General features: G+C 52.2%; 1 protein-coding gene across 2 annotated transcripts in view, besides 5 other annotated features; it reads left to right on the forward strand.

Moving 5' to 3' along the window:
* ZNF407 (zinc finger protein 407) overlaps positions 1-3,710 on the forward strand; it is a 467,802-nt gene extending 464,092 nt beyond the window's left edge. For both annotated transcript variants that reach the window (NM_017757.3, NM_001384475.1), the window contains exon 9: positions 1,189-3,710. In NM_017757.3, coding sequence (NP_060227.2) covers positions 1,189-2,507 — 1,319 coding nt within the window. In that variant the 3' untranslated portion in view covers positions 2,508-3,710. The remainder of the gene's footprint in view (positions 1-1,188) is intronic.
* Positions 8,358-9,557: an enhancer, noted in NCBI's record as "P300/CBP strongly-dependent group 1 enhancer chr18:72782275-72783474 (GRCh37/hg19 assembly coordinates)". NCBI's record gives its function as "activates an origin of replication core promoter dependent on BRD2, BRD4, P300/CBP, MED14 and CDK7 cofactors, with strong dependence on P300/CBP, by STARR-seq in HCT116 cells {active_cell/tissue: HCT116}" and the evidence as "EXISTENCE:reporter gene assay evidence [ECO:0000049][PMID:35650434]".
* Positions 8,418-8,918: an enhancer, noted in NCBI's record as "H3K4me1 hESC enhancer chr18:72782335-72782835 (GRCh37/hg19 assembly coordinates)". NCBI's record gives its function as "activates a minimal SCP1, AML or CMV promoter by ChIP-STARR-seq in primed H9 embryonic stem cells {active_cell/tissue: H9 hESC(primed)}" and the evidence as "EXISTENCE:reporter gene assay evidence [ECO:0000049][PMID:30033119]".
* Positions 9,207-9,356: an enhancer, noted in NCBI's record as "active region_13505". NCBI's record gives its function as "activates an Ori minimal core promoter by ATAC-STARR-seq in GM12878 lymphoblastoid cells {active_cell/tissue: GM12878}" and the evidence as "EXISTENCE:reporter gene assay evidence [ECO:0000049][PMID:35858748]".
* Positions 10,637-11,137: an enhancer, noted in NCBI's record as "H3K4me1 hESC enhancer chr18:72784554-72785054 (GRCh37/hg19 assembly coordinates)". NCBI's record gives its function as "activates a minimal SCP1, AML or CMV promoter by ChIP-STARR-seq in naive H9 embryonic stem cells {active_cell/tissue: H9 hESC(naive)}" and the evidence as "EXISTENCE:reporter gene assay evidence [ECO:0000049][PMID:30033119]".
* Positions 11,138-11,638: an enhancer, noted in NCBI's record as "H3K4me1 hESC enhancer chr18:72785055-72785555 (GRCh37/hg19 assembly coordinates)". NCBI's record gives its function as "activates a minimal SCP1, AML or CMV promoter by ChIP-STARR-seq in naive H9 embryonic stem cells {active_cell/tissue: H9 hESC(naive)}" and the evidence as "EXISTENCE:reporter gene assay evidence [ECO:0000049][PMID:30033119]".

The raw sequence follows: 16,652 nt of genomic DNA on the forward strand, positions 1-16,652 counted from the left end.
TTCCTGCTAAAAACATTCAGCACGCTCCTCCTCTCTGCAGCCCATAGCCCAGGTACCTTAGTGCAGGGTGGAGGAAGCCTTGGGCAACCTGCTCTGTGATGAGCAACCTATTCTCCTAACAGCCCGAGCCTTCCACCGCCCTGAGGCCTTGAAGCACCTTGGGGATGGCCTTCCTGCCTCTGCCTGGGCCCTCGCTGCTTCTGTCTGGAACTTCTCCTCCCAGTCCACGAGAGATGGCTTGAATCTTGTCCTGAAGACAGGGCTACAATGTTGTTTCGTTTTTACATCTTTCCCTGAATATTCTTTCCTGAATGTATGGCTTCTTTGTCTCTGTGTCTTGTCACCTTATGTTGTATCCAAGACGTTCGGCAAACACATCTTTGTTGATTACTTATTCAATCCAAGGCACTGTCCGGAAGATGGGACAGAGAAGAGGAAGGCTGAGTCTGTCCCCTCGAAGCCCGCTGCCCAGTTCTGCAGTATAGACTCCCCTCTCAGCCCCTGAGTGGCCAGGACCCTGTGTCTGCATGTGCCCAGCACCCTGCAGAGTGCCCTGCATGCTGCCAGGACACGGCGACTCACATGGCCGCACAGGCTGCCTGCCCAGGTTCAGCACCTGAAACGTCGATGTTCAATAAATATTTGTTGCATTAAACTTTTACAGCGGTGTTTATTGATGACATTTTTTAAAATTTAATATGCAAGGCTTTCATTCTTTTTGCTGAATAAACAAATATACCATATATAATATTTGGTCATTAAAAAAAGATTTTCCGTTGGGTTAGGAGATACTACTGCTGGCTGTTTGCTGAACTTTACTTAGCACCCGTGACGGAACGCATTGTTACAAAAGACATGATGGTGGTTGGGGGGAGGTATCCAGCCTCCTTCCCTGGGCATTGGAGAGGCGCACACCCCTGCAAAGAGTTGTATTGGACAGCTCACAGGGCTGTGGGGAAATGCACACCCAGTATTAACTGTGTGTGCCCTTGAGCCTAGAGCCTGCCTGCAGATGCCCACGGAGGCCTCTGGCCCTGCTGAAGCTTGCACTGTAGAGAGCTCTTCAGGGTTTGGAATAGGGGGTCGTGGTGACTCTGCTGAGGCCTGAGCGCTTCTGCAGAAGAAGTGTCTTACTTGTAAGCCTACGAGTACTTTTTCCAGGCTCTAACTGGTCCCTGTCTCCCTTAGGCATTGTTTCCAAGTCGTACGAGTGCCGTCTAAAGGGACAAGGAGCCACCTTCGTGGAGACAGACAGCCCCTTCACCGCGGCGGCCTTGGCAGAAGAGCCCCTCGTCAAGGAGAAGCCCCTCAGAAGCAGCAGGAGGCCAGCGCCGCCCCCTGAGCAGGTGCAGCAGGTCATCATCTTCCAGGGCTACGACGGGGAGTTTGCCCTGGACCCCTCGGTGGAGGAGACGGCCGCCGCCACGCTGCAGACGCTGGCCATGGCCGGCCAGGTGGCCCGGGTGGTGCATATCACGGAGGATGGCCAGGTCATCGCCACGAGTCAGAGCGGGGCACATGTAGGCAGCGTGGTGCCCGGACCCATCCTCCCCGAGCAGCTGGCTGATGGAGCCACCCAGGTGGTCGTCGTGGGGGGCTCCATGGAAGGCCACGGCATGGATGAGTCCCTCAGTCCAGGTGGCGCTGTGATACAACAGGTGACCAAGCAGGAGATTTTAAACCTCTCGGAGGCTGGAGTCGCTCCCCCCGAGGCATCCTCAGCCCTGGATGCATTGCTCTGTGCGGTCACTGAATTAGGGGAGGTGGAGGGCAGGGCTGGGCTCGAGGAGCAAGGCAGGCCCGGCGCCAAAGACGTGCTGATCCAGCTGCCCGGGCAGGAGGTCTCCCATGTGGCTGCCGACCCCGAGGCCCCCGAGATCCAGATGTTCCCACAGGCCCAGGAGAGCCCGGCCGCCGTGGAGGTGCTCACCCAGGTGGTCCATCCCTCAGCAGCCATGGCCTCTCAGGAGCGGGCACAGGTGGCCTTCAAGAAGATGGTCCAGGGCGTCCTCCAGTTTGCTGTGTGTGACACGGCCGCGGCCGGCCAGTTGGTCAAGGACGGTGTCACCCAGGTGGTGGTGAGCGAAGAGGGTGCCGTCCACATGGTCGCCGGGGAGGGTGCCCAGATCATCATGCAGGAGGCGCAGGGCGAGCACATGGATCTGGTGGAGTCCGACGGGGAGATCTCGCAGATCATCGTGACGGAGGAGCTGGTCCAGGCCATGGTGCAGGAGTCCAGTGGCGGCTTCTCCGAGGGCACCACGCACTACATCCTGACAGAGCTGCCCCCAGGGGTGCAGGACGAGCCGGGCCTGTACTCCCACACCGTGCTGGAGACTGCGGACTCGCAGGAACTCCTGCAGGCCGGGGCCACGCTAGGCACAGAGGCCGGGGCCCCAAGCAGGGCAGAGCAGCTGGCCAGCGTGGTCATCTACACCCAGGAGGGCTCCTCGGCCGCGGCGGCAATTCAGAGCCAAAGAGAAAGCAGCGAACTCCAGGAAGCATGAGACGCGCGGCACCTTTACTCAGCACAGGGCAGGTGTGGGAAGGTCCAGCTTCGGTGGGGGACCGTGTTCCCTGAGCTTCATCTGAAACCTTCAAAACCATGAGGACAAGGCTCCCGTGAGCTCTGAGCATGCCCTCCCAGCGAGAGTCACACTGGCCACCAGCCAGGCGCCCACAGAGGGTACCGTGGGCTGGGCCTCGGGGAGCAGGCTGCCAAGTGCAGGGGAGGGCCGGGCGCAGGCCGCACAGGGAGCTCCGGTCCACTGGGGGCCCTTCGATCAGTGGCCTCCCGCTTCGTCCTGGCCGCTGTGCTGAAGAGAAGCCAAGTGTTGTTGGTGTTTTTCTCTCCCAAGTGTTTTCCCATTTCAGTTATCAGAAGGTCATGGCCGTGGGGAAAGTGGTGAAGATACCCCTCCTGGCTTGGGGTGCACCTGCTTGTGCAGTCAGCATGTAGCTGCCTTTCCATTTCATTCTCTACTGGGCTAAAAATTGCAGCTACAAGTGTTACCATCTTGAAGCAGTCCACTTCCATTCAATTTTTTTTTTTTAATTTTAGAATAACAGTGTCCCCATACCAAAGGAAGCCTGCTAGCTCATTTCATGTATAAATTTCCCATCTTCAAACAGTTTAGGTGTATTTGTTGCTCTGGTCACATTCTGCATAAAAGAAATCCTCTTAAGCCTATGGTTAAGAAAAGCCTTGAAGTTTATATTCAGTTAAAATATATGTCGGTGGAGATAGCCAGTGCTTCTAATTTTGACTTAGTTTCATACAGTAAAGCCTAAATGTGAAACGCACACGCTGGAAGATATTGTTCCTATCAATATTTTGCTTTTTATAACAAGGGTTTGTTCATATTGATGCCATTTTTGCAGGATTTCTTCGTGATTTCTGTCCATATGAAAATGCTGACATTAAACATTAACACATGGAGACCGTGCCCTGTGGCCCTGCCGTGGCTGCCAGCATGGTCTGTGTTTCCTTGTGGATTCACCTGTGGCCCTGCTGTGGCCACCAGCATGGTCTGTGTCCTCGTGGATTCACTGCAGCTGTCGGATGCGAGTTTCTGTCATAATCATTTGTTTCCTGATACAATTGTTCTTATTCTTTTCCAAAACTGTAAAATAATCTCCTCCCTCAAATGCAAAGGTTGTTTTTGTTCTGTTTCTGTTTTCTTTGAAATAAAATTATAACGTTAAAAGATCACGATGGCATGTTATTTTCAGCAGCCAGTGGTGGGCAGCTGTGGCAACCGAGGGGGCACCCCGGCGCTTGTGGCTGCTGGCTTCTCCCTCCTTCGTGGCCTCCAGACGCGGAGCACTGCTGCACATCCCCTGCAGCCCGATACTGTTTCTCAGCATCTGGCAAATGGCCCAGATGCATTCTGGTGACAATAACGTATTCTATCATGGATAGCATCTAGAAATCGTGAAGAGCAGGCATGAGAGGAAAGGAGAGTGGTACCTTCTTTGTTTAAATACAAGTGCCGTTTAAAATCTCTTCCTGAGAGAGCATGGAGACCAGCTCACGCTTTGACCAGTTCAGAAGCGGAACCGGCCTCTTCCTAGCGCCCTTCTCACTGCTGAGCTCTGTCCACCTAGGGCCACCTCCCTTTAGACAGCCACTCCTCCAAAAAAATAAGAACTGAAGGTAAATTTCAAGGCTGACACTGAGATCCATAATTAGCTGAGTATGACTTGCTCATGTTTCTTAACAATGGCAGGGCTATTCAGGGCTTCTTAAACACTGTCTTCAGCAAACAGTGACAGGATCAAGGTGACCTTTACAAAGTGATGGCCCTCGCCAGGCTTCTCATACATGTTAAAAAAAAAAAAAAAAAAAAAAAAAAAAAAGGTTGGCGGGGGGATGTTTTTCAGTGGAAAGATTTCTTCTTGATCACTCCTCCCGTTAGCAGTAGCCCACGGCCCTCGGCTCGGATGCTAATTCCTAACCGTGCGTAGTCCTGTATGGCTAACCTTTCTGCTGCAGTCCAGGGTGTTGACACTGACATGCTGCAGTGTACCGTCGGTGATTTATTTAGGATAAATATGTCTCAGGTGGCATTTAATCCTTCATAAAACCAGTGTAGCCTGCAGTGTCAAACCAGCAATCACGTTGTATGCGCAATGAAAAGAGCAGGCCTTTGCATAAAAAAAAATTGTACAGAAGGTGTTTCTAGGCCCAGAAGGATTGCGGAGGCTTCACTAAGCCATTGTATCCTGTAATTACCCATAGAGCTAGGTTAATGTTACCTCTCTTTTTCTCTCTCATTACACAACTATTGGAATGTAAGGGGGTTTAAGAAGTACATACACGAATGTGTGCCTTAGAATAATGAGGCATAGCAGGTTTTGTGAGCAAGGGACATTCATTGTGGCATGGATTGTCTATAAAAAAGACAAGCAAGCTGATAGCTTTCCTTGTGACTTTTGCCAGAGAATATGACAGAACTTCAAAGTTTTTTTTTTTTTAAGGCAAATGAAATATTTACTTGGAGACTAATCCAGAAAGGCCACTTTTGTATTAAGCTGCAGCCAATTAAACGACAGAGCCTCAAGGACGTCTGGCATGCAAGGAAGACCAGACCGCCTGAGGCAGCAGATAGTAATGGTTTAGACCTCAGCTTCCATGGCGGAAGTCGAGCAGTGCTCTCTGTATATGCTGGAGAGTTACAAAGCAAGACAGCAGTTTCCAGAAAAAGGAAGTTGTAGCCACTTGAGGTCACGTTCATGAAACAGAATCAAACCTGCGTCGTTCCGGGATGCCCCAGGCCTCACCAAGCAGTGGATGTGGAAGAAGCAGGGGAAGATGCTCTCCTAAAATATGTCCCATGCACCGCAGAACAAGCAGGCAAGCTCACGTCACCTGATACAGAGATCCTTTTCGCCACGTGGTTTGCTTTGAAGTACCAAGTGAATGTGCCCAGGTTCTATGAGTGCAGCGCTGGAAGCTCCACTGCCCTTTACAAGGTTCTATGAGCGCGGGGCTGGAAGCTCCACTGCCCTTTACAAGGTTCTATGAGCGCGGGGCTGGAAGCTCCACTGCCCTTTACAAGGTTCTATGAGCGCGGGGCTGGAAGCTCCACTGCCCTTTACAAGGTTCTATGAGCGCGGGGCTGGAAGCTCCACTGCCCTTTACAAGGTTCTATGAGTGTGGAGCTGGAAACTCCACTGCCCTTTACAAGCTTCTATGAGTGCAGGGCTGGAAACTCCACTGCCATTTATAAGCTCTGTTCAGAAATGGGACCGCAGAGTATCACAGAAAAACCAGAGCTGGACAGTAGTTGCACAGGTAAAACCCAGATTTTATTCAGGAAAATGTCAGTAGGGGAAAAAAGACCTGGGCACAGAACTGGGCTCGGTTCTGAATACAGGAGCAAGCGAAGGTTTACAGCCAAGAAGTTGTGGGGGCAGGCACTGGTGGATGGAAGATGACTAAAAGGACGCAGGGGGAAGGGGAGCGGGCACTGGTGGATGGAAGATGGCTAAAGGGACGCACTGGTGGTTGGAAGATGACTAAAAGGGCGCACAGGGAAGGGGAGCGGGCACTGGTGGATAGAAGATGGCTAAAAGTACGCACAGGGAAGGGGAGCAGGCACTGGTGGATGGAAGATGGCTAAAAGGACGCACGGGGAAGGGGATTATGCCCAAGCCCACAGGACTGGATTCTTGCTGAAGCGAGGCCAGGGCCGTCAGATTCCACCTGAGGCGGAGGGGGCGTGATAGGATAAGGAACCTGGTTAGATCTTATGAGTGAGCAGACATGGAGGGTTAAGGTTAGAGTTCTCGCCAGGATTTCTGGCTAAACCGATTTGGCAGGGTTCTTGCTGAAACTAGATTTTACAAGGAAGTGCACAGATGGGAAAGTTCAGTCAACCAAAGCTCTGTCAAAAGTCCTAGGAGGTGGACGGGGAGGAATCCCGGTCATCTCTACCCAAGTCCCGGTCTCTCTACCCTATTCTCTCGTGGGGCACAGCAAGGCCTCCGCAGGGCCAGGCAGCCCCAGCCCACCTCTGCTGTAAGAAGCAAGGGGCTGCTCCCCACATGGCATTTGTGTCTCGGTCCTACCGAACTTCTTTTTCCTGAACAAAAGATAAAATGATGGCATAAGGAAAGCATCCAAGAACCAGCTTGGATTTCTAACCCAGAGCTGGTTCTAGGAAGAGAATTAGGGAACAAGAAAGGTCATTCATTTAGCAAACTAAAAATCTGTAAGTTTTCACTTCTTTGGCTGTTTAATATTAGCCCATAATTTAAGAGAGCACACAGCTCACTTAAGCAACCTCCTCCTGTTCCATCTTGTTGAAGAATACAATTCGTTTTCTCCTCCTCTAGGGTGATATCATTTTACATGAAGAAAAAAGTTCTCTCGGATGGCAGTTATACGTTTCGGAAGCACCTTCTAATCAGGGATGGGTGATTCATTATTAGCTTCAGCAGGCGATCCATCTGACATGTAAGGGGAAAAAATTAGCAGCTGTCACGGCATGATGAGTTAATTTCCTGATGGGCCTGACACCGAAAAGCCATTTGGAGACATGGCAGAGGCTGACAAGAAAACCTGGCGCTGCTTTATAATTGGAGATAAAGAAAGGGCAGAGAAACAGGCCGAGGATGGCCCCCAGGTCTGCAGGCTGGGGGGTGCCTGTGAGCTCTGCGTGGTCGTGGCTATGGCCTGAGGCCGTGGCCCTGGCTGGCTGTGTCCAGGTCCGGGGTGGTCGCCACTGCTCCCTCTGGGATGAGAGTGGCCCGGGGCCTGGCATTCTCCCCAAGAGGCAGAGCGTGCCTGCTGGCCTCCTTTCCATGGTCACCTTGGCGATTTTCATAACTGGAGCTCAGGATTCCCATTGTGGGATGACTTTTCATCACTATGAGAAAGTAACCCATTAAGTAAATACCATGGAAACCCAGGCAGGCGGGAGTGGTGGGCCTGGGGCAGCAGGCGGGATTCAGTCTGGCTTCCCTCGCCCCCCGCCTTCAGCTGCACCTCCACAGGGCATCCATTGCAAACCCAACAAGATGAAAAAAACACTGTAAGAAATATCCTGAAGATGGAAATTAGAGAAATCAGCATTATGAAGCCAGCTTTGAAATACCAGGCTGGATGTGCTGGTCTTCACTGGGTGAAGGAGGTATCTGCTGAAGGCTTAGCATGTGGGCTTCTAGAATCCAGGCCCCACGTCTGGACCCTGAAACCCTCTGGTGAGAAAACAAAGAGGCCCAGCCCGTTACAGGCTGGGACACGTCGATGACTCTTGGCTTTCTTGGACTCTGGATCTGTAAAATCGACAAGGCAGAGGTGGGTCTTGAACCTCATGTTTGAGAAGTAAGCATGAGGGAAAGAACCTTCCACCCAAATGCCTACACCCTGCAGTCAGGACACAACTCTGCTTTTCTCTAGGCTGGACTCGAAGGATGCCCCCCTAAAGAGCTCACCAGCTGGAGACAGAAGACAGCCGTGGTCACAAAGCCCATTACCAGAATTAAATAAATCCGTTCTAAATCTCCCAGGCAAAGAATCATTTACTTCCTCCATGGCCCTGCATTTTCAATACCTTTTAATAAATTCTTTTAAAATGACCTAATTTCAACATGGCTTTCAACTTCATAAAAAGACAATTTATAACCAGGATAAACATGAACCTAGGACATGCCATTTCAGTCCTCTCCAGGATCTCACGTTACGCTTCAAATAACTTTTTAAGTGGAAGAATAAAAACCAACACAAAGTCAAGGTTTGTTTTTTAATTTCCACATTGAGCTCTGGTTTGAGCCTGAGCTTTCCAAGGCTGATCTGGGCTCCCTGCTTGTCCCGCCGGCGTCGGGCCCCTCCTGTGCAGGAAGCCGTCAGGGAGCCCCAGTTAGGAAGGGATCTCCCAGAGCAGGGCCACCTCTGTCCTCGCCTCCACTGCGCCACAGAGCCCCAGCAAATCTGCAGAGCTATCATGACTGATCTGTAAATAGGGCCATAACCCACGAATACAGTCTACCCCCAGTCTGGGCTCCCCTCTTTCACCTGTGCTCCTGCCGCAGTTGAAGGAGATAGAAGACGTTTTCATATCAGGATTGCAACATACGGCCCGTGGGAGAGGATGGTGATCCTAACCTATGCCTGGAAACGACGCTGCGAGTGACTTTTCTGGTAAGGGTCGGGACTCACAGTGATTGTCCAACGCGCAGTCTCTCACCCGTATTCAGAATGTCCTGGGAAACAGGCGGGGCTCTGGCTACGAGGCCACATATGTCCCACCTCCCCTGACCCCCCGCATGTCACAGGGCTCAGGTGCCTTTTCCTTTATCTCTAATTCCAGCTGTAAGCTCATGCCCCTGCACACAGCCTCTGCGTGTTCATCTTCAGGCCCTGAGCTTCTTGTGCAGCTAGGTAGGCGCTCAGCAAGTTACTTTAAATGGGTGGATAAATACATGGATTGTCAATTCGTCATCAGTTTTTCCTGTTTGCTTACTCACCTTCCTCTCTGTTGGTTTAGTCATAATGTTCTCAAATAACAAAAGCCTTTGGCAGGAATTGAATCAGATGAATGCACCGTGAACACACTGTCTTTTGGTCACGCTGGTTCAGAGCACGTCCCTCTACCTACTTCCACCTTTTTCAAAAACATTTCTTGATGAGCAGGGCCCTGAGACCAAACTTCACGGCAGACGCTGGATCTGAGTCACACTGTCTTGTCATGTGTGGTCAGGTGACCTGCAGCTTCCACCAGCAGGAAGAGATGCTGGGAGAGGATTTCCTCTTCACTCGCAGTCATCGTCATCTGAAGGGAAGCCTGCAAGTTCGTTCTGTTTCTAGTAAGATTTGTCTTTGCTTATGTCCTGGCTTCTTCCTCGCCCTGCAGACTTGGGCCAGTGCTGTTCACTGCACAGTTATTCTTTCCTCGACGTGCCGTGCAGAGAAGGCTGGTGTTTTGGGTAGTCTTGAACAATGGGGACTTCCTCTTCTCTAGAGAGAGCTCTTTGACTATAGGCAGGAAATGCTGCACGGGAGCCTGGTTAGCAGGGGTGCTGTGGGCCCCGGGCTGCAGGGCCTGCTATGCATGCAGCAGCATCTCGTGACGGGTCATCTCCTGGTGCGTCCTGTGATGAAGCAGGTGCGCCACAAGCCAGAGAGGAGCACCAGAGGGGAAAATAACACCCTGTCCATCTGACTGCAGAAGGCATGCCCCTCACATCTCCGTGCCTCTGCAATCGAGACACAGCGAGAGTGTCTCAGATGTAACGAATACCATAAATCTGTGTAAAGCAAGTCCTGGGGGAAGAAGAAGTATGGGGTCTCCCTTGGAAAGGACAACAAATATGCCACAGAATGGCACCCAGCACCCCTGAGGTGAGCCCAGCAGGCTGTGGACGGTGCTGAATTTCCAGTTACTTCTTAAGGCCTAAAGAAGATGGCTCAGCATGCTCCTGGCCTCTAATGCATTTGGAGTGGGGCAAAACACACACCTTCTCAGTGAGAGGGACTCAAGAGGTCCCAGAGGTGCAATCCTAAAATGGACAGGCTGCTCTTGGAGAAAAGGCGCCCTCCAGGCCTGGAAGACTCTAGCAGAGGCTGGTGGGCTCGATAGAGACACACAGTCTAGAAGGGCGTCCTCGCCGGGCCCGCCTGGCCCTGGGGCCACCAGGGCGTGTTCTGCAGTTCTGGGAAGCGGATCTGCTGACTGGGTCCTGAGCTGAGAACCGTGACTTCATTCCAGGCCTTCGATTTTATGAATAAGAGCTGGCCTCGAACTGCTGTGATGTCAGAGGAGTCACCTGTGCATCCTGAGGCTAGTGGGTCCTCTACAGAGTGAAGGCTGAGAATAGATAGACCCTAATATTAACACCAGCTCTAAGCCCTTTGATGATGTGAACAAGTCTCAGCGAGTGTCCGTGAATTGTTGAAGGAGAGTATCAGAAAGACAACACGGTCTGGACGTGGCAGTGATGGCAAAGTGTCCCCAAAGAAGCTGAAATCCATATAAGGTGGCCTTCTGACAGGTGCGTAGCGAGTCTTAGTTACATTGAGGGCAGAACGTCTCCCAGAGCAGCGAGCGTGGACTGTAACCTGACTGAACACATTCAGGAACCTGGAGAGAGGACGCCAGAGCCCGTGGGTGGCCGTGGGAGGACAGGGGAAGGAAGGCTTAGAGAAGCAGCCGCAGACGCTCACGGCAGGGCCGTGCAGGCAGAGGCATGTGGCCGAGGCCCCCACACTCCCTGCACGGAGAGGCTCCCAGCAGCCCAGTCCTCTGCCCTGGGGGTCCTCAGCCAGGTGGCCTGGCCCCAGGGGACAAGTGGCCATGTCTGGGTTGCCACAACTAGATGTGTGGTGGGTGGAGGCCAGGCCACTGCTGAGCCCTACGGTGCCCGGGATGACACAGCCCCTGTGCACCAGAGTCCGGGGAGACCCGCCCCAGGTCCCTGCCGCCTATGTGCCCTCATCTGGGCTGGCTGTGTCACTGGGCGCCTCCAGTAAGAATGTGTGGCTCTATGTCTAATGCAGAAATCAGCTGGCCTGCTGGCATTAGCTCCACTCCTCTGAGGGAAGGAGAGAACTGGGATTCGCTGCACACCAGGGTAACGCATCCCCGCCTGGGCGCACTTGCACGGCCAGGTGAAACCCTGGATATGGGGAGGCTGGTGGGCCACATGCCGTCTCCTGGGGCCTTCAGGTCGCACCCTCTGGTGGTGGGAGGTGAAGGCGACCGCCCCACCCATGCCCAGGAGAAGCTGGGGAGCTGGGCTGCAGGACGAAGTGAGTCCAAGCTGTGCCCCAGCCCGGGCTGCTCGTTAGGGTTGTGACACACACCGCTGTCACTCCTGTTGAAGATGGAGCCTGGCAGAGGGAAGGGGAGTCCCTCCTGGAACCTGAGGGGACAGAGAATGAAGCAAGGGGTGAAGGCCCGACCTCCTCCCAGCAGCATGGAGCGTGGCAGGGTGGCCTTCGCAGGGTCCAGCCTGATGGGGCCAAGGCCCCAGGACCCTCTGTGGCTCATACCACATACATCTGTGTTTCGTTTCTGTTAAGCCAGTGACACATCCCAGCTCTTTATCCAGAGGAAACCCAAGCAGGCTACCAAGAAGGAGGAAGATCACTCGGTCCTGTGCCGTCAGGTTCCAAACATGACAGCACACAGCCATGAAGCCCTGCCCCATTCAGCCAGCCCTGTGCAAAGCTTTCCAGATACATGACCTTCCCTACTGCCTCCTGAACCCCACGGGACATGTGGCATTAGCCACACTTACAGAGCCTCAGAAAGGCTAAGCAGCTCGCCCAGTGACACACAGTGGAGGTGACAGGGCCCCATCCCCAGCTTTAGGTCACGGCTTCCCTCCTCACTCATACGAACAGCGGACACCACATAGAACAGAGGCGCCAGGCCCTGCCCGAAGTGCTTTAATGCATGATGTGCTTCAGCTCTGTGTCCCCACCCAAATCTCATCTGGAATTGTAATCCCCAGGTGTTGAGGGAGAGGCCTGGTGGGAGTGGAGGGAGAGGCCTGGTGGGAGGTGATTGACTCATGGGGGCGGTTTCCCCCATGCTGTTCTCGTGATAGTGAGTGAGCTCTCACAAGATCTGGTGGTTTTATAAGGGGCTCTTTCCCCTTTGCTTTCTCTTCTCTCTCTCCTGCCACCATGTGAAGATGGTCCTTGCTTCCCCTTTGCCTTCTGCCATAACTGTAAGTTTCCTGAGGCCTCCCCAGCCATGTGGAAATGTGAGTCAATTAAACCTTTTTCCCAGTCTTGGGTATTTCTTTATACCAGGGTGAAAATGGACTAATACAATGCACAACTCACTTCAGGCCCCAACAAGTTTCTGAGCTCAGCGCTGTGGATATGGACCCATTTTACAGATGAGTGGGACAGGGAGGCAGGCCCCTCACCGGGTCCCACATTCATAATGGCCAAAGAAGCCCTTGAGCCTGGTGGTCCTGCCCGAGACATCTCCCCATCTCTGTGCCAGAGGCCTTTCAGAACATGTGGCTCTCGGGTTCGTTGGTCGGTGATGAGGGCTCATCTCACTCTGAGCCTCGGCCACCCTCCAATGAGGTCTCCTTCCACTTCCTGCCACTATTTTCTCTTTTGTCTGGGACGTTCCCTGATTTCCTTTCCCATCTGGTGCATTTGCATGAGTCCTCAAGGCATCCTCCAGCCCTGGTGTTTGTGTGCAGTGAACTGACTGGGCTGTGTGCCTCCCACCCTGGGGGACAGGTCATGGTCACTAAAAGTGACAGAAGGATGAGCCTGAAAAATGTCCAGCCCTATTCAGAATAGAAGAGAAAGGCCTGTGACCACTTCTACAAACTCAAAATTGACACACAGATGTCAGGACAAGACTCACAGCTGGGGCTGAGTCCCCCAGGCCAGAAGGGAGGCCAGCGGAGGTCCTCCAGGCCAAGAGTGAGGATGGGTGAGTTCCCCCGGGCCAGGAGGAGTGAGGGTGGTGGAGGTCCCGGGGCCAGGACGGAGGCCAGCAGAGATCCCCCAGGCCAGGAAAGAGGCTGACAGAGATCCCCTGGGGTCAGGAGGGAGGCTAGTAGAGGTCTCTCCGGGCCAGAAGGGAGGCTGGCAGCGGTTGCCTTGGGGCCAGGAGGGAGGCTCAGCTGCTGTTTTCCTGTCAAGAGTCTAGGGTCTCCGAGGCCCAGCTGCCCACTATCACCACATGCTGTCACCCAGCATGAGACACTGTCTACTCCAGCCTCGGATCTGGGAGTCCAGATGTCTACACCCAGGCTGCACTCCTGGGGACAGTGGGGACAGCAGGGCATGGAAGCTGATGGCTCCTCTCAGCTTTCTCCTGATGCTGCTTCATTTATTTTTCCACCTGTGGATCCCAGAAGCCACCATCTACGTGTTTTCTGTCCATTGTTCTCTCAACACCACCTGATGTCACAGTCCTGGGAGCTCCTCCCTGCAGAGGGCAGGGCTGGGCCAGTGCCTGCCCTCGTGGATGCCGAAGCAAGAAATGCCCTTCGTGGGGAGGATGGAGGGTGGGAGGGCAGTACCTGGCAGGTGCTTCCCTTCCTTGGAGGGGTTCCCTCGGGGGACAGGCTGGAGACCCGCAGCCCCTCCCTGAACCCTCAGGTTGCGTCCCCCAGCGGCTCCCTGCAGCCAGGGCTTGGCTTCCTCTCCCCGTGGTCCCCTCTGCTCCTGGACATGCTGCTCTGAGGACAGCGTCCACTGGACCCCAGGCACTAAGGCCTGGGTTTTGCTCCTCGCATCTTTGCAGAGGCTGTGGTTTGGTTTTGGGCTCAGCCGCCTGCACCCCTGAATGTGGAACAACGTGCCCAGGGCCTGAGCATCTTTGGAGGTCTCCATGCCGGCTGGGCCATGGTTCCTGGTCCCCACAATGTCCAGGTGGCTGCCGCTCACACAACAGCAGAGCTGTTCAAAGAATAAGAGGAAAAAAGCCGTGTGTGCATGCTCACCCAAAAGGCTCTGTGCTGTTGTTCTACATTGGAACAAAATCTATCTTTGCAACAAGTGGATGGAAATGCGTATTAACGTATTTGAGCCTCTTGAGGGGTTGGAATATCAGCCTTGCCAGCCGCAGGGCAGTGGTGGACTTGAGCAGAGGGAGGAGGAGGAGGAAGAGGGCTGAGCCACTCTCTGGCATCCTCAGGTCACTCTTCAGCTGCCGTTTTGAGGACATTTTGCAAGGATTAGCTCAGGGAGAGCCCCACAGGGTGCAAGTCCACACTGCCGAGCAGGACTTGAATGCTACGAGTTGTCTGCCTTGGGTCTGGGACCCCAGGGTCAACGGGACCCAGAGAGGCGCCTGTCATCTGTCCCTGGAATCGCTTCTGATTTTTTTTAATAAAGTTCATACAAATAGAAGTTCTAGCATTTTTTTCTGTACCAGTGGATTGTCTGCATCCCTTTCTGGTGACCCCCACCCAGAGCACCCCCATATGCAGAGCCTCGCTGTCTGCTCTTGCCACTCCTTGACGTGAGATGGTGCTGAGGCCCAGCCGAGCTCAGTTTCATTCAGTTCTAAGTAGTTCGTATCTTCCTGGTCTGGAGGGAGAGCTTCCTCTGCATCACCCCCAGGAGCACAGCTGTGGCCTTCTGGGGAGGTATCACACTGTGTGAGGATCCTGTGAGGTCACAAGATATCCTTAGCCCCAGCTCCTGTTCCTCCCATCCCCGTTCTCAGTGCAGCCTCAAAGTCCACTCTATTCCCATGAACACCTGCCCCATGGGACACATATTGCCTCTGTTCCGTACCCCAAGCCCACTGAAGAGTCAGAGAACTGACAGAGCAAGAGAACAAACGAAGAGGCAGGAGCAGAGATGAGATGAGATTTGGGAAAGGCACACATGGCTGGGGAACTGACACTAAAGGGTGCAAAGCCCAGGCCACAGCCCCTCCTGGCAGGGGCATCCTGGCAGTGCTAGCCAGCAGCCAGGCTCCAGGGCCCAGCTCAGGCCTGGCTGCAGGCACTGTGGGATGCGGGTGAGCCATGGAGTGAAAGCAGGCCTGTTCCTCTATGGGACCTTTGCAGCCAAACCCCCAGACCCACTCCCCAACCAAGAAATAGCAGGACAATTTTTTCATCTGGAGAAATCCAACCAGCAAGGCTCTGGAGCTGGGGACACGGCAGAGTGAAGGAGATGCCAAGCACGAGATGGGACTGAGAAAAGCTCAACCCCCTGATCACCGAGACTTGCCTCCTCAGCCTCCCTGGCTAGGCTTCTAGTACCATGGAAGCCAAATATGTACCCCCAGGGAGGAGACTAGAAGATTCTTTTTCTGGAGAAATTGAACCACTCCAGAGAGAAGCCCTCCACATAAGACACTCAAGGGTTTTTCCAGTGGAAAAGCTGACTGCTGTCAGATGGCTCTGGAGAGAGGGCCAGTCGCCAGGAAGTCCCATGTACCCACAAAGAGCTTCAATCAGCCTCAATGCCTCCCTCAGCTATGCACATGAAGCTAAGGACCCATGTGAATTAAAAAGATCAAAAATAAATAAGAGCCTGTGATCCCAGCACTTGTGGAGGTTGATGATCACTTCAGGCCAAGAGTTCTAGAACAGCCTGGGCAACACAGTGAGACCCCAAAGTTAAATAATAAGAGAGAGAAAAGGAACTCAGCAGAAGTAAATTTTAAGAAAATTCCCCCAAAATGCACTCAAATAATAAGAGAATGTATGCTTCCATGAAATAATACTTGATTTTTATATTGATTTAAAAAATAAAAGAAGAAAGAAGTCCAGGGAATTAAAAATGCAGTAGATAACTATGGGCTGGAAGATAAAGTCAAGGAAAGTTTTCACGAAGTAGGACCAAAAGACAAATAAATTGAATATAGATTTTTTTAAATCAGAAAATTAAAGTATCAATATAGGATATCTGAAACTGACTAAAAGAAGGTCTAGAAAGAGAAAATGAGGAAAATGGAAAGAAGGAAATTATCAAACAGTGAATACAAGAAAATTGATGAGACTGAGGGATTAGAGTTTCCAGCTTGAAGGAACTCACTAAGTACCCAGCAAAATGAGTGAATAAGACTCATATTGGTTGTCATGAAGTTTCTGAACCCAAGAATATGCAATACTAATATCCTTGTCAGGAAAAAAAAGCAAAATAAAAGTCACACTATGAAAGTTAAAACGACATCAGACTTCTAAAAGCATTAATGGGTACTAGAAGTTAAAAAAGGAATCTCTTCAAAATCCTAACAGAAATTTTTGTCAAATAATAATTCTATTACCAGCTAAACTATCAATCAAGTATAATGGTACAATAAAGATATTGTCAGATATGCACTCTCTCCAAACATTTGCCTCCCTTACACCCTTTTGCATGAAGCTACTGAAAAATATGCTCTCAAAGAGGGTAGATTAGTCTTGGGATTCAGAAACAGGTCAACATAGGAGAGAAAAAAGGGAATGTCCTGAGTAATGATTATTTGAGCAAGTAAAGGAAAGGCTCTGAGGAAAAAGGCATAGAACTGATCAATGCCTTGGTATATTCAGCTGTATAGAAAACATGTTATGAGGTTTGGATAGTTGCGAAGGAATGAGTGACAGCATATAAAAACACCAAGCAGGCCAGGTGCAGTGGCTCACTCCTTGTAATCCCAGCACTTTGGGAGGCTGAGGCAGGCAGATTGCCTGAGCTCAGGAGTTTGCGACCAGCCTGGGCAATG

This window comes from Homo sapiens, chromosome 18 (assembly GCF_000001405.40).
Source record: "Homo sapiens chromosome 18, GRCh38.p14 Primary Assembly".
Lineage (NCBI taxonomy): Eukaryota > Metazoa > Chordata > Mammalia > Primates > Hominidae > Homo > Homo sapiens.